General features: G+C 44.4%; 1 protein-coding gene across 3 annotated transcripts in view, besides 1 other annotated feature; it reads right to left on the bottom strand.

The window, feature by feature from the left end:
• SMYD2 (SET and MYND domain containing 2) overlaps window positions 1-12,228 on the bottom strand; it is a 55,973-nt gene that overhangs the window by 23,191 nt on the left and 20,554 nt on the right. For 2 of the 3 annotated variants that reach the window (NM_020197.3, XM_047425702.1), the window contains exon 2: window positions 8,691-8,754. The exons of the other annotated variant lie outside the window; for it this stretch is intronic. In NM_020197.3, coding sequence (NP_064582.2) covers window positions 8,691-8,754 — 64 coding nt within the window. The remainder of the gene's footprint in view (window positions 1-8,690; window positions 8,755-12,228) is intronic. 3 annotated transcript variants of the gene reach the window in all.
• Window positions 11,618-11,753: a silencer, noted in NCBI's record as "fragment chr1:214475531-214475666 (GRCh37/hg19 assembly coordinates)". NCBI's record gives its function as "represses an EF-1alpha promoter that drives an FKBP-Casp9 reporter gene in an ReSE screen in phorbol 12-myristate 13-acetate-treated (for megakaryocytic differentiation) K562 erythroleukemia cells {active_cell/tissue: K562(+PMA)}" and the evidence as "EXISTENCE:reporter gene assay evidence [ECO:0000049][PMID:32094911]".

The following is a 12,228-nucleotide window of genomic DNA, read 5'->3' as shown; positions in this document are numbered from 1 at the left end:
TCCCAAAGTGCAGGGATTACAGGCGTGAGCCACCGTGCCTGGCCTAACAGTAGTATTCTTTCTATCATACGCCCTGAAGTTTCCCTGCCCCGGGTAGAGGGATGAAGGATATTTGCTGCTGGAAGGGTGGAGGCGCCATCACTTGAGATGGGGAAGGCATTGAGAGAAGGACACCATGGTGTTTTGGAGGCTGAGGGAAGCAAGTACTTTGAGGACTAGGGAGTAAATGATGATGCCAGTGCTGGAGATAGGCTTAGTGTGAGAGGACGGAGAATGTGATTTGGAATCATGGAAGCTTGATGATTTTCATAAAAACAAGTTTTGGTGGGATGATGGGGTAAGAAATGACAGGGAGCAGATTCAAGAAAAAATGAAAGGAGACACAGCTTAGAGTAGTGAAAAGTTGCGGGGGACTTTTTTTTTTTTTTAGATGGGAAATATCAGAGCACGTTGTATACTGATGGAAGCCCTTACACACTGTCTCTTTCACGATGGAATTGGGTACTGTCCTGCTCTGTCCTTGGCCTTCCCTAGCTCAGAAAATGGCCATAAATGCTCAGGGCAGGGAGGCTGACATGGGCGGATCACCCGAGGTCAGGAGTTTATGATTGGCCTGGCCAACGTGATAAAACCCCATCTCTACTAAAAATAAAAAAATTAGCCAAGTGTGGTGGCATGTGCCTGCAGTCCCAGCTACTCAGGAGGCTGAGGCAGGAGAATCGCTTGAACCCAGGAGGCAGAGGTTGCAGTGAGCCGAGAGTGCACCGCTACACTCCAGCCTGGGCAACAGTGTGAGATTCTGTCTCAAAAATAAAAATAAATGCTCAGGCCAGAAAGCTAGAGTCATCCTTGACGCTGCTCTCTCACTCACACTCCACATTCAGTCAGTTCTGGCAAATCCTCTGTCTCTGCCTGGAATCTGATCACTTCTTAGCTCCACAACCTTTCTACCCGGCTGCAGCCCCAACATCTCTCATGACTAATGTCCTGCCACTGCCTTCTAACTGGATGCCCGCTTCTGTCCTTGCTCCCATGGACTAGGTTCCAGAGAGCAGCCTGAGGGATTCTGTTGACAAAACTCGGATCAGGCCAGTCCTCAGCTCAAAACCTAATGGCTTTTCTCATCCAGGCAAAAGGCCAAGCGCTAAAGGTGACCTAGGAGGCCACACGTGATGGGAGCGTCCCTGCACCACCCCAGCCCATCATCCCCCACCGTACTCTCACCTGCCTCACTGCACTTAGCCACAGAAGTGTCCTGGCTGCGCCTGGAGCCATGTACCTGCCTCAAGGCCCTTCGCACTTGCTCTGTTTTGTGGCTAGCACTCTCCTCCCCTGGATATCCATGTGACTCCCTCCCTCCTCTCCAGCCGCTGCTGGAATGTCACCTTCTCAAGATACCTGCCACAATCACCCTGTCAGAAAGAGCACTTCCCCATCATTCTTCCTTTCCTTGCTTTCTGCTGCTTCTTAGTACTTCTCACCACCTGAGCATATTATATATTTATTAGTTGTTTGGTTTAGTATCTGTCTCTCCCCAGGAAAATAAAGAAATTTTGTTTTGTTCATAGCTGTAACCCCAGAACTGACAACAGTGCCTGGCATTTAGTAGGCACTCAATATAGTTGTTGAAGGAATGAAGATATCTCCCTACCCGCTTCCCTCCACACTGATCCCCCAAGAAGGAAGCACATAATGTCACTTAATGATTTAATGCAGTCTATGGTGCAGCCCCTTAGCTCAAGTTCTGGGCCAAGATGTTCTGCAGAGTTAAATAATGCCGCGCCAAATATAACTAAGAGCAGGGAGGAAAAGAAATGACAAGATATGCACAAGGGAGAAGAGAATCTGTTTTTAGCCAAAGCCTAAAATGAGAGCATGGTGATGAGGCGAAGAGGTGGGAACAGGTGGGTCTGTCTCCCTGCAGACTAATCAGCTCCCTCCTCAGCTGCAGAGCAAAGAGGAAAAGACAGAGATGACCCTCGGGATACCTGAGAGGATATGGGGACCTACCAGCTGGGGACAGATGGATCATTAACAACTATAGACAAATGCCCACTCTGACTCCAGCAACTCCAAGAAAACTCCAAGACATAATCTCTGTCCCTAACGGGCCTGCAAGCTGTTGTTTTCTGAACTGCAGGTGGTGCCTTGGTGTTTAGCAACTACAATGAATTCCTGGGAAGTTAAATATGAACATTTATTAATATAATTATTATTTATAAAATATCAATTTATTAATGTAGTTGATTTAAAATTAATGGTACTGTAAATACTACATAATGGTGACATTTATTGATATAAATGTCCTCAAAAGGAAGGGAATCAAACACAAGGAAAGCTCTGGGAGGAAAGCAGAGTGCTGTCAAGCAGGAGGGCTGCTGACCTGGGACTCAAGAAACCTGCATTTTATCCCCACTCGCAGCGAAGCAGCTGTGTGACAACGCAGGTTTCTTAATCCCTTTGCGCCTGTCTCCCTGGCTGTAAATAACATGATCCCTAAGTTACTTAGCAAGTCCAGAATTCTGAGTCTGTGAGTTTACACCTTCCAACAGTGATAATCAGATATCAAGCTTGAAGACTACCAACAAAAGTGGACCAAATAGGGATCATCAGGCATTCATCAGGCACAAAGGATCCCATCAGCAGATCCACAAGAAGCACTCAGAACGGTGCCCGGCACAGGCTGCGCTCTGAAACATTGGTAATTGCTCATTCATTCATTCATTCATTCAACAAGTGCTGCAACTGACCCTAGAGGCAGGGATGGGAGATGAAGTCTTTGACTTCAAGCAGTTTATGGCAATGTCAGAACCAAGATAAAAGTACACCTACAATTAAATACAGTCCCGCTCATAGCAGTTAAAATCAGGTAGCTGGATAAATTCAAGAAAATGCAGAATCAGGTTAAATTTCATCAAAGGAAATTTACCACAGTAATAACGTTTCACTTTCTTTTTTGAAGGTGGATTAACGGAGGAAGGGCAGAGATATAACACAATGGCACTGCACAGCTTTAATTCTTAAAAAAGGAAGATGTGATAGTATCTAGTAAAAATGTCAGGTTTTAAGCATATTTTGATACATTCTCTTCTATCATAGAGATGGTCCATATATTTTAAAGAACCTGACAGCGGCAACTACCCTAGTTTTGCCCATAAGAAATTACAAGCAACCAGACTGGACAAAATTGAAAAACAAATTAGGCTAACCTGATGAATAGGAATGAATGTTATAAATTACCGTATTTTTGAATACTGGCAGTACTGCTGTATACAGAGTGATTTTGCAACTCTTTATGCTTTTTTAAATGTTATCAATTTTTCTAAAACTTTTCCCACTATTCTTCAAAATTCGAGTTAGTGCTCCTGCCCTGACTGCAATACTTATAAAATTTTCTGTAAACTAGGATCTCATTTTCCAAAAAAAAAAAAAAAAAATTAATAAAATACACATATAAGCACAGAAGGGATTCAGGAAGATATATACCAAAGTATTCTCTCAAGGAACAAGATTATGAATACTTGTTCTGTTCTTTTAGTCTGCACTTTCTGATTTTCCCATAATGAGGACAGACTGTGTAACTTAAATCCATAAAAAAGGTGAGATATGGAATTTTTCATACTGATGGTCCTCTTTTAAAACTTCTAATTCATTTTCAACTAAGATAATAACTACTGTGCATGACTTTCACTTTCGTGCACAGTCAAAAATGCTTAAAGATGCATAAAGAGTTGCGAAATTGTCTCATGGTGCACCAGCATTTCCAGCACTGGAAGAAAAGAGTGATTATTATGGCATCCAGTTTTCTGCTGAGCAAATATGTTGCCTTCCTCGATAAGGAGACTGGATTTTCATCATGAAGTCCCTTTTCTGCCTCTAGCATTTGGTGTTTCTATTCTTCTAACAACAAACACAGCCTACCTGTACACATCCACATCTTATTTCTTAAAATGTGGAACAGGGAGAAAATGTCACAGGATTTCTGCTTTCCACTAGCATGATCCTTGAGAAGAAGTGTGCAAAAGCAATCAGGTGGACACCTGACCACCTTATACAAAGATGGCCCGTGCTGCTGAGCTACCATCACTAGGACATATGCTTTGTGTTTTCCCAATACAAGCAATGAGACATACTCAGTCATTCACACACATTTCTTCCTACTGGTGATGTTAAAGATTTAGAAAAAAAGAGTGGCCCAAATTTAAGATGCTTCCTATGGCTGACAGGAGTGAACTGAACCAGGATTGAACCTACGACTCTGGCCCCATTACACTAATCACCCATAACAGCAGCATTTATTAGACATGTTCTATACTTCAGTTATTTTCTAGTCAATGATAAGGGCCTACTATTTTCTCACATGCTCCTCATACACACTTTAAAAAATCCCTTCCTACTTTCAAAGCTTACTCATAACCCCCTCAGCAGCAAAACACAAAGGTTTTCTTCTTTACATTCATTAGAGTTAAGAAATATACCCTAGAAAGTCCTACTGCACAATGATTATTCTATATAACAACTTTCTAAAACTCTTCTCTTGAAAATATCCTGGTACAATTTATGGGTGAGTGGGTGAATGAGTAATATACTTTGCTTCCCAGGCGTATTTAGAAAAATAAATACAGTTCATTAAAACACACAGGTTACAAAATAACGCACCCAACTAAAAAGGAATTTCTGTTTCTTTTGTATTTCCTCCCATTACCCTTTCATGCATTAGCAATTAAAATCTTTCCTCTGGCACCATCACACTGAGTCAAGTGAACTAAGAGGAAAGTAACGGGACAAGATAGAACCAAATTGTATCAAATAAAGCAAAATCCGAAAGCACTGCAGACAGAAGAGGGCTTGGGGAGAACATACACCATGGCTAGGATCCCCTAAGAAGCCTTACTCCATGTAAAGAGGAAATCCCCAGGAAGCAATGTGAGCCTTTAGCACTCTTGGAGAGGTGTCTGGCCAAGGCAACAATGGACGCAGCTCTCCCCTTTCACATCCACTGAAGGCCACTTCTCTTTCTCTGACATTCCCACAGAACCTCCTTTCCTAGAGGGCCCTCACTTCTCCCAAGCACACTACTGTAAAGGGGTGAAAGCCCTCCCCAAGTAGTGTGTAAAGTCTCATCTCTGTTCTGCCACTGTTTGACCTTGGGTGATCTTGGGTCACCCAACCACTTGGGACTACGTTTTCTTATCTACTGACATATTGAACTCGATAACCTCCATCCCAACTCCACCATCTGCTGTGTGGCACTGACCACCTGATGACTCCAGGGGGGTAGGGCCTACCTTTGAGGAAGGACCAGTTAATTACTAGCAGCTGAAGGCCATGCTTTCTTAGGTGGAGAATCACTCAATTACCTTCCTCATCGCTGCTCTTGTTTTGTGCCACGTTTTATCCTTTAAGCAGAGCCTCTACTTTGATCCCATGCAAGCACTCCCTTAAGCCGAACCCTGAACACATTTATATCTGGAGCAAATGCCCCAGATTCCTCCCTAATGATTTCCTTTACGAAGCCCTTGTGCTACCCTTTATTTCTAGGCACTTACTTTTATTAAACCTTTATGCCTGCTCTATCTCTTTATAATACACTGCCCACACTTATTTAGTTCTTCAGTACTAAAGGATGAAAAACCTTAATGGTCATTAGCCTTTTCCTTCAGCAGTGGGAGACAGATGAAACAAAAATGAAACTTACAGGTCAGATCCAGCCTGCCACCTCTAGAAACAAGAGACTTCAGGAGCTGCGGTACCACTCACCTCCTAGGAGGGTACTTTGGTCACCAGATACTTAACAGAAGCACAGGAAAGCAGAATTACAGAAGTAATCCCCGGTGCTCAGGGTGCCCCTGTCTGGGAATTGAGTGAGCAGCAGGGGAAACTCCATCATGAGGCTGGACACAGCAGGCTCTCTTGGCCTGCAGCCTTGCAAGAGTAGAATCCCGTAACTGTTTCCTCCATCCTGGGGTTCCTTGCTCCCCAAGTAATTGTGTCATTATGAGGCGGCCACCTGTACAGTTTTGTCTTCAAGGGCAGGAAATCTAGACTGTTCAACTTCTTGTTGTAGAGTAATAAACTGGCATTGTGGCACATACAGGTTGGGATATTGGTTAATGTGAGCCTCCCCCAAGGGAGGACACCCCTCATTGCACGCTTACAAATGAGGTCTCTGGGTCTGCGAATCTGGGATTCTAGGTCCTGGGGGCAGGGAAACCATAAAGGGCATCTCAAATCCCAATGTGGGCCATGACGATTCATCAAAATACTGCCACCTCATGAGGCCTAACAAGTTAGTTTAGCAGCGTGCTCAGAAGACTCAGACTCGGAGCTAACTCCACATGCCACACACTCTGATGGTACTCATTAATACACTGTTCACAGCTACTTAAAGGAGTTAAGACTCATTTTGTAATAAGCCTTATTCACACAATGTACACCATCAGCACCCTCAAGTTCTTAGAATCCAGTCATTCTCTCAGGCTGAAAAACCAAGCCCCTTAAATCAAAACTATGCTGTTTATTTCTTTGCATAAAGCTAAGCTTTAGTCTAGCCTGAATTACACAAATTCGATTTTCCTGTGGACTGTAATATGTTTATACTAACTCCTCACACCTGTATATAGGGTTACAGCTTATATAAAACTTTAATATCTATCACATCATGTGGTCCCTAACTCATCAAGGTGGGCACCATTGTGCTTAGTTCAGATTTAAAGAAACTGAGCCTCAGGGATGTTTTGTAACTTGCCAATTTCTTTCTTTCTTTTGAGACAGAATTTCACTCTTGTTGCCCAGGCTGGAGTGCAAAGGCACGATCTCGGCTCACTGCAACCTCCGCCTCCCAGGTTCAAGAGATTCTCCAGCCTCAGCCTCCAGAGTAGCTGGGATTACAGGCACCCGCCACCACGCCTGGCTAATTTTTTTCTATTTTTAGTAGAGACGGGGTTTCACCATGTTAGTTAGGCTGGTCTCGAACTCCTGACCTCAGGTGATCTGTCTGCCTTGGCCCCCCAAAGTACTGGGATTACAGGCATGAGCCACCGCGCCCAGCCATAACTTGCCAGTTTCATAGAGCTAGTAAGTAGCAGAGCCAGGACCTGCTCCTGGGACCATGGCCTCCTGCTACTCCATGCTGTATGATCTGAACTACATGTGACTCCCTATGCTTGCTTTGCTACAGAACGGAATGAGTTAATTTTTCTAGAAGTGTTTAACTTACATATAGAAACAGCTAACTCATCTGGCAGGCCTGGAATCAAACCATATATGTCGCAGGGGCTGCTGATCTCTACAATGCCGTTGCACTACTCTATCTACAATTGGTAGGAGCAAAGTATGATCTTTCCTCTTCAAAAGAAGGCACCCTCCCCGAAAACTCAACTACAAGCTCCATTTATATTCTCACTGCCACACAGGCTGACAGCCTCCGGGAGCCTGCTGTGGGAAACACAGGGAAGGGGACGGTGCATATGGTCTTCAGAGCTAAGGCAGAGTCTGAGCTTCCCAAGCCAAGGTCTCAGCCTGTGCTTCATTCTGGGGAGGGGCCGCTGTCCCTGGGGCGCTACAGTCAGATGAGACACCAGGGCTTAGCAATCTCTCCCACTGCTAAATAATGCTCTTTGAGGCCTTTCAGAAGCCAACAGTGTAGGGAGGTGAGAAAGAAAAAAAAATGAAATAGTGGGTAATCCAAAGTAGACCGGGGATGGGGCTGGAGGGTGGGGATGGGGGAAGGACAACACCAGGTATGGAACAACAAAAAGAGATGCAGCTATAGAGAAAATCTTCCCTGTCCCGTAGAGCCACCCTTTAACAGCATCACCATTTCTCAAGGTGTATTAATAGGTTCCCTTTAAAAATAAATGCCACGGGGTGTCCAGAGAGATCAAACAAGAAGGCTTAGAAATTCACAATGCCATACTAGTGTATTAAAGACTATAACAGGTTCTGAAGTAAAGAGACTACATTCCCCTAAATTGTTTGAACATGAAATGCATTTTCTGTGGAATACCTACGAACATTTTGTGGAACAAGTGTTTACTATAACAGTTTGGGAAATACCACTCTTAGGCCCTCAAAGAGTCTACCAAGAATTCCTCCAACATCCTCCTTATTAACCTTCCCATCCCTACATTTCAGGATTCATTTGAGACTCATCCATGCTGAACCCCTCAGCCCTGGCTGCTCCTGAGGCACTGGCCCCAATTACGAGTTCAGAATAGCCCCCCCTCTGGCTATACAGAGGCTGGACTAGGGGATCATCTGAGTCTCACTGCAAGCAGGTTAGGTTCAAACAGCCCAAGGGTAAGATGTAGCCTGCTATGGAGGGATTTATAAAAATACAACAATAAAAACGTTAAAAACTTAAAGATAGCATTTTAATATTGTTTATTTGTCAACTCTGCATTTTCCGTCTGTGGCTGCAGTCCTTGGGGCAGACTTGCTAGCACACCTGCCTGTATCTAACATGGTCTTCTCCTGCACCTCGATGTTGGTCCTGCATGCGGCCTCAAACGGTTTACTGCCTATCACTGGCCGCCTGTGAGGTCGGGGTCAGCACACATCCAAGGATATCCAGCCACATCCTATGCTTTCCAGCTCTGGCTCCAGGAGGGCGCTGAGGAATGCCATGACAAGGAAGAGGAGGACTTCAGAGGAAATTAGGCCCTCCCTGCCAATGGCCCAGCACCTACCTGACACTCCACATTGCAGTAAAATGCCTGCTTGCATCTTCCACATTTGGACAATCCTTCTTTCCTTAAAAACAGAAAGGGCACTGTAGTGGTGACAGACACAGAAACGTGAAGCTGTACATTTTATCATGCAACAACAAAAGCCACTTGGTTGGAAAGCAGAGCCAAGGTTCACCTTACCTTACTCTCCCACTGAGAAGGTGCATGTTCCTTAAGAGTTTGACCAGATTCAGCCCTTGAGGAGTGAGTGAGTCAAATAGTGCATGCACTCACATTTACCAAACCCACCAGTATGAAGAGCACTGTCCAAAGAGATGAGGGACAACAGCTCTGACTGACTGGTGACCTGGCCAAAGACACCAAGGCTATGAACATCATCTGCACAGAACTACTGTACAGGTCAGTAGCTCAGGGCAAGTTCAAGTTCTTATGTCCCGATTTTCTCATCTGCTAAAGAGGCACAGAAATAAAACCACATTGAAGGTTTGACCCCATGAAGATGGAGTGTTGGGGTGCACCTACTCTGGTGAAAATCCCATGTGAGTGACAACTCTCATTATTTAGAAATTGCAAGAAATGCAAAGATGGAATTTAGTATGCTAGGACTATTCGAATGTTGTCCAGAAAGCTAAGTTTAAAAGTGCAACCTAGCAAGTGGAGATAGATGCTTTTTTTTTTTTTTTTTTTTTTTTGAGATAGGGTCTCACTCTGTCACCCAGGCTGGAGTGCAGTGGCATGATTCTGGCTCACTACAGCTTCGACTTCCCGGGCGTAGGCCGTTCTCCCACATCAGCTCCCAAGTAACTGGGACTATAGGGCATGTGCCACCATGCCTGGCTAATTTTTGTATTTTTTGTAGAGAAGGGGTTTCACCATGTTGCCCAGGCTGATCCCCAACTCCTGGGCTCAAGCCATCCACCTGCCTCAGCCTCCCAAAGTGCTGGTATTATAGGCATGAGCCGCCGTGCCCCCACCAAGAAATAGATTCTTGAATACTGTATTATGGGATCTGATTGCTATACATACCCATTTTGTCAGTGTACTATTTAGCTATTCTTCTGCCTCTTCATAATGGGGTCGATTCAACTTATTCATTGTTATATTATTTTTCCTGCTTCCCATAAAGGACAGGGACATTGTTGCTTCCCAACTGTTAGGTGCTCGCGTGTGTATTGTGTGAGATGAACCAAAGCTTTTTCAAAAGCTGAAAAGCCACTGAATTAAGCCACATACTACAAAACTCTTTACTTTTTTCCCAAGTGGGGAACAATTACATTGTCTAAGTCAGAGCGCAATCGGTAAAACCTGCTGTCGAACTCTTGCCCACCCCGGTGAAGCCAGCTTCTGGACTTGTGGAGATACCGACAGCACGAAGCGGCTACACTGCCGCAGAGCCACCCTGTGCCACCTCGTCCCCCCTCCTCTGCAGCCCAGCAGAGCTGACGGGGGCGGGGGCGTGCGCGGTGGGGGCTGACATCTTATAATACGGATATACATATTGTCACGCTGCAGAATCCTCCGCGGCTTCTCGTCAGCAAGTGGTAGTCACCACACTCCTCCTACAGAATTAAGGAAGTCTTCCAAAAATTCTGCTGTTGGAACTAAACAGACTGCCTTGCAGCTTTCATGACAGCACTTGGATTCCAAGAAGCAGACTGAAGAATGTGGGAGAAAAACGCGTCTTGGGGTTGAGGCATAAATAAATATTCCAAGTTTGCAGACCTCAATAGTTCAAAAAGGAACCCGCTAATTTAGCTGATGTATTCTCTGGCCTAAAATACTCCCCCTATCCCCTAGGGTATATCTGAAGGGACTGAACTCTGACTTTGCATTTTGGAATATAGAAGAAACAAGATGGACAGACCCTTGCTCTCTCGGGAAATGCACTAAAAAATCACGGTGAAGTGACTCGTCAGCAAGCGCTGCGTGATGTGCACTGTGCAGAAATGCCCAGGGGAGGAAAAGCAAAGACAGCAGAGCCAGGGAGGAAGCTTGCAAACTTCTTTCCACAGAGAGGTGTGTCAGGAAATAGGTAACGGTGGGAGATGCTACCCTTTAAAAATGTCTATCCAAAAAGTCATCTTTAATATTTGTTTTTATGGGGGGCAGGTTAGAGACCTCTGAGAGTTTGGCTGAAGCTTTTAACTTACTCTAATAACCCACCTTCTCCCCCAACCCTAATGAAACAAAAGAAGTCTGTAAAATTTCAAGGGCTTTGCTGAGCTGTTAAATGCTGAACAACAACAAAAAAAATTAAAGGCTCAGGGGCCACCTAAAAGCCCATATGTAGGACCAGCAAAGAGCCTCTGACACCAGCGTTAAGACCCCCTGATGTAAGAGATTAGAAAATTATCATGGTTAAAAAGACATTTATTAGCTCCACAACATACAAAAAAAGCAAGGATTAATACAGGTTTTCTTGCACAGAAACCAGTAGTAAAGTTAACCTGAAACCAACACTTGTTTGCAGTCTCCACGTAACATCCCAAGGAGAAAGTAGGCAACTAGGCTCTAGGGAACTAAGAAAGAACTCTAGTGAGAGTTCATCAAAATAATACCTCTACCAAAGGCTGGCCTTCATTTGAACCAGCTCGTCACCAAGTCCACAACCACAAATAATAAAGAGCAGGAAGTAAAGGCTAACTTTTCAGTCTTGGCAATATGATATGTCATTTCTACTACCTATCTCAGTGATTCTCAAGAAGGTCTACAGACTGCTGGGGTCCCGGAGACCCTTTCAGGGAGTTGGTGAGAGACAGAATTCAGATTATTTGCTTTTTTTCTCACTGTTTTAACATTTGCAATGCAGAAGGTGTGAGGCGTAAGGCGTAAAGGTTCCTGAAGGGTAGTAAACCTTCAGATGCCTAAGCGTAAATCAAAGCTCAGGAAACACTGTATTTTTTTTTTTTTTTGAAACGGAGTCTTGCTCTGTTGCCCAGGCTTGAGTGCAATGGCATGATCTTGGCTCACTGCAGCCTCCACCTCCTGGGTTTAAGCAATTCTCCTCCCTCAGCCTCCTGAGTAGCTGGGATGACACGCATGTGTAATGACACCCAGCTAATTTTTGTATTAGTAGAGACAGGGTTTCACCATGTTGGCCAGGATGGTCTCGAACTCCTGACCTCAGGTGATCCACCAGCCTCAGCCTTCCAAAGTGCTGGGATTACAGACGTGAGATACCGCGCCTGGCTGGAAACACTGTATTCTTTACTGCCACACTGGCAGTAAGAGGGTGAAAGCCAGTCTCACGAATGTCCCTGACGACGCAGTAATGAATATTAACTTTACTAAATCTCGATTCTTAAGTATATATGTCTTTGGCATTGTATAGTGAAGTGGGAAGAATGCAAAAAGTATTTCTGCTTCATATTGAAGTCCAGTGGGTATCTCATGGAAGAGCACTGGTGTGATCACTGGCATTGTAAACTGAACTAGCCACTTTCTTCTTGGAAAAATTCCTGGCTTTTTTTTTTTTTTTTTTAACTTGAAAGAACAGTTTTAGATAAACTGTGGTTATTCAGACTTGAGCATTTGGCAG

This window comes from Homo sapiens, chromosome 1 (genome assembly GCF_000001405.40).
Source record: "Homo sapiens chromosome 1, GRCh38.p14 Primary Assembly".
Lineage (NCBI taxonomy): Eukaryota > Metazoa > Chordata > Mammalia > Primates > Hominidae > Homo > Homo sapiens.
This window is presented reverse-complemented; position numbering and strand designations above follow the sequence as displayed.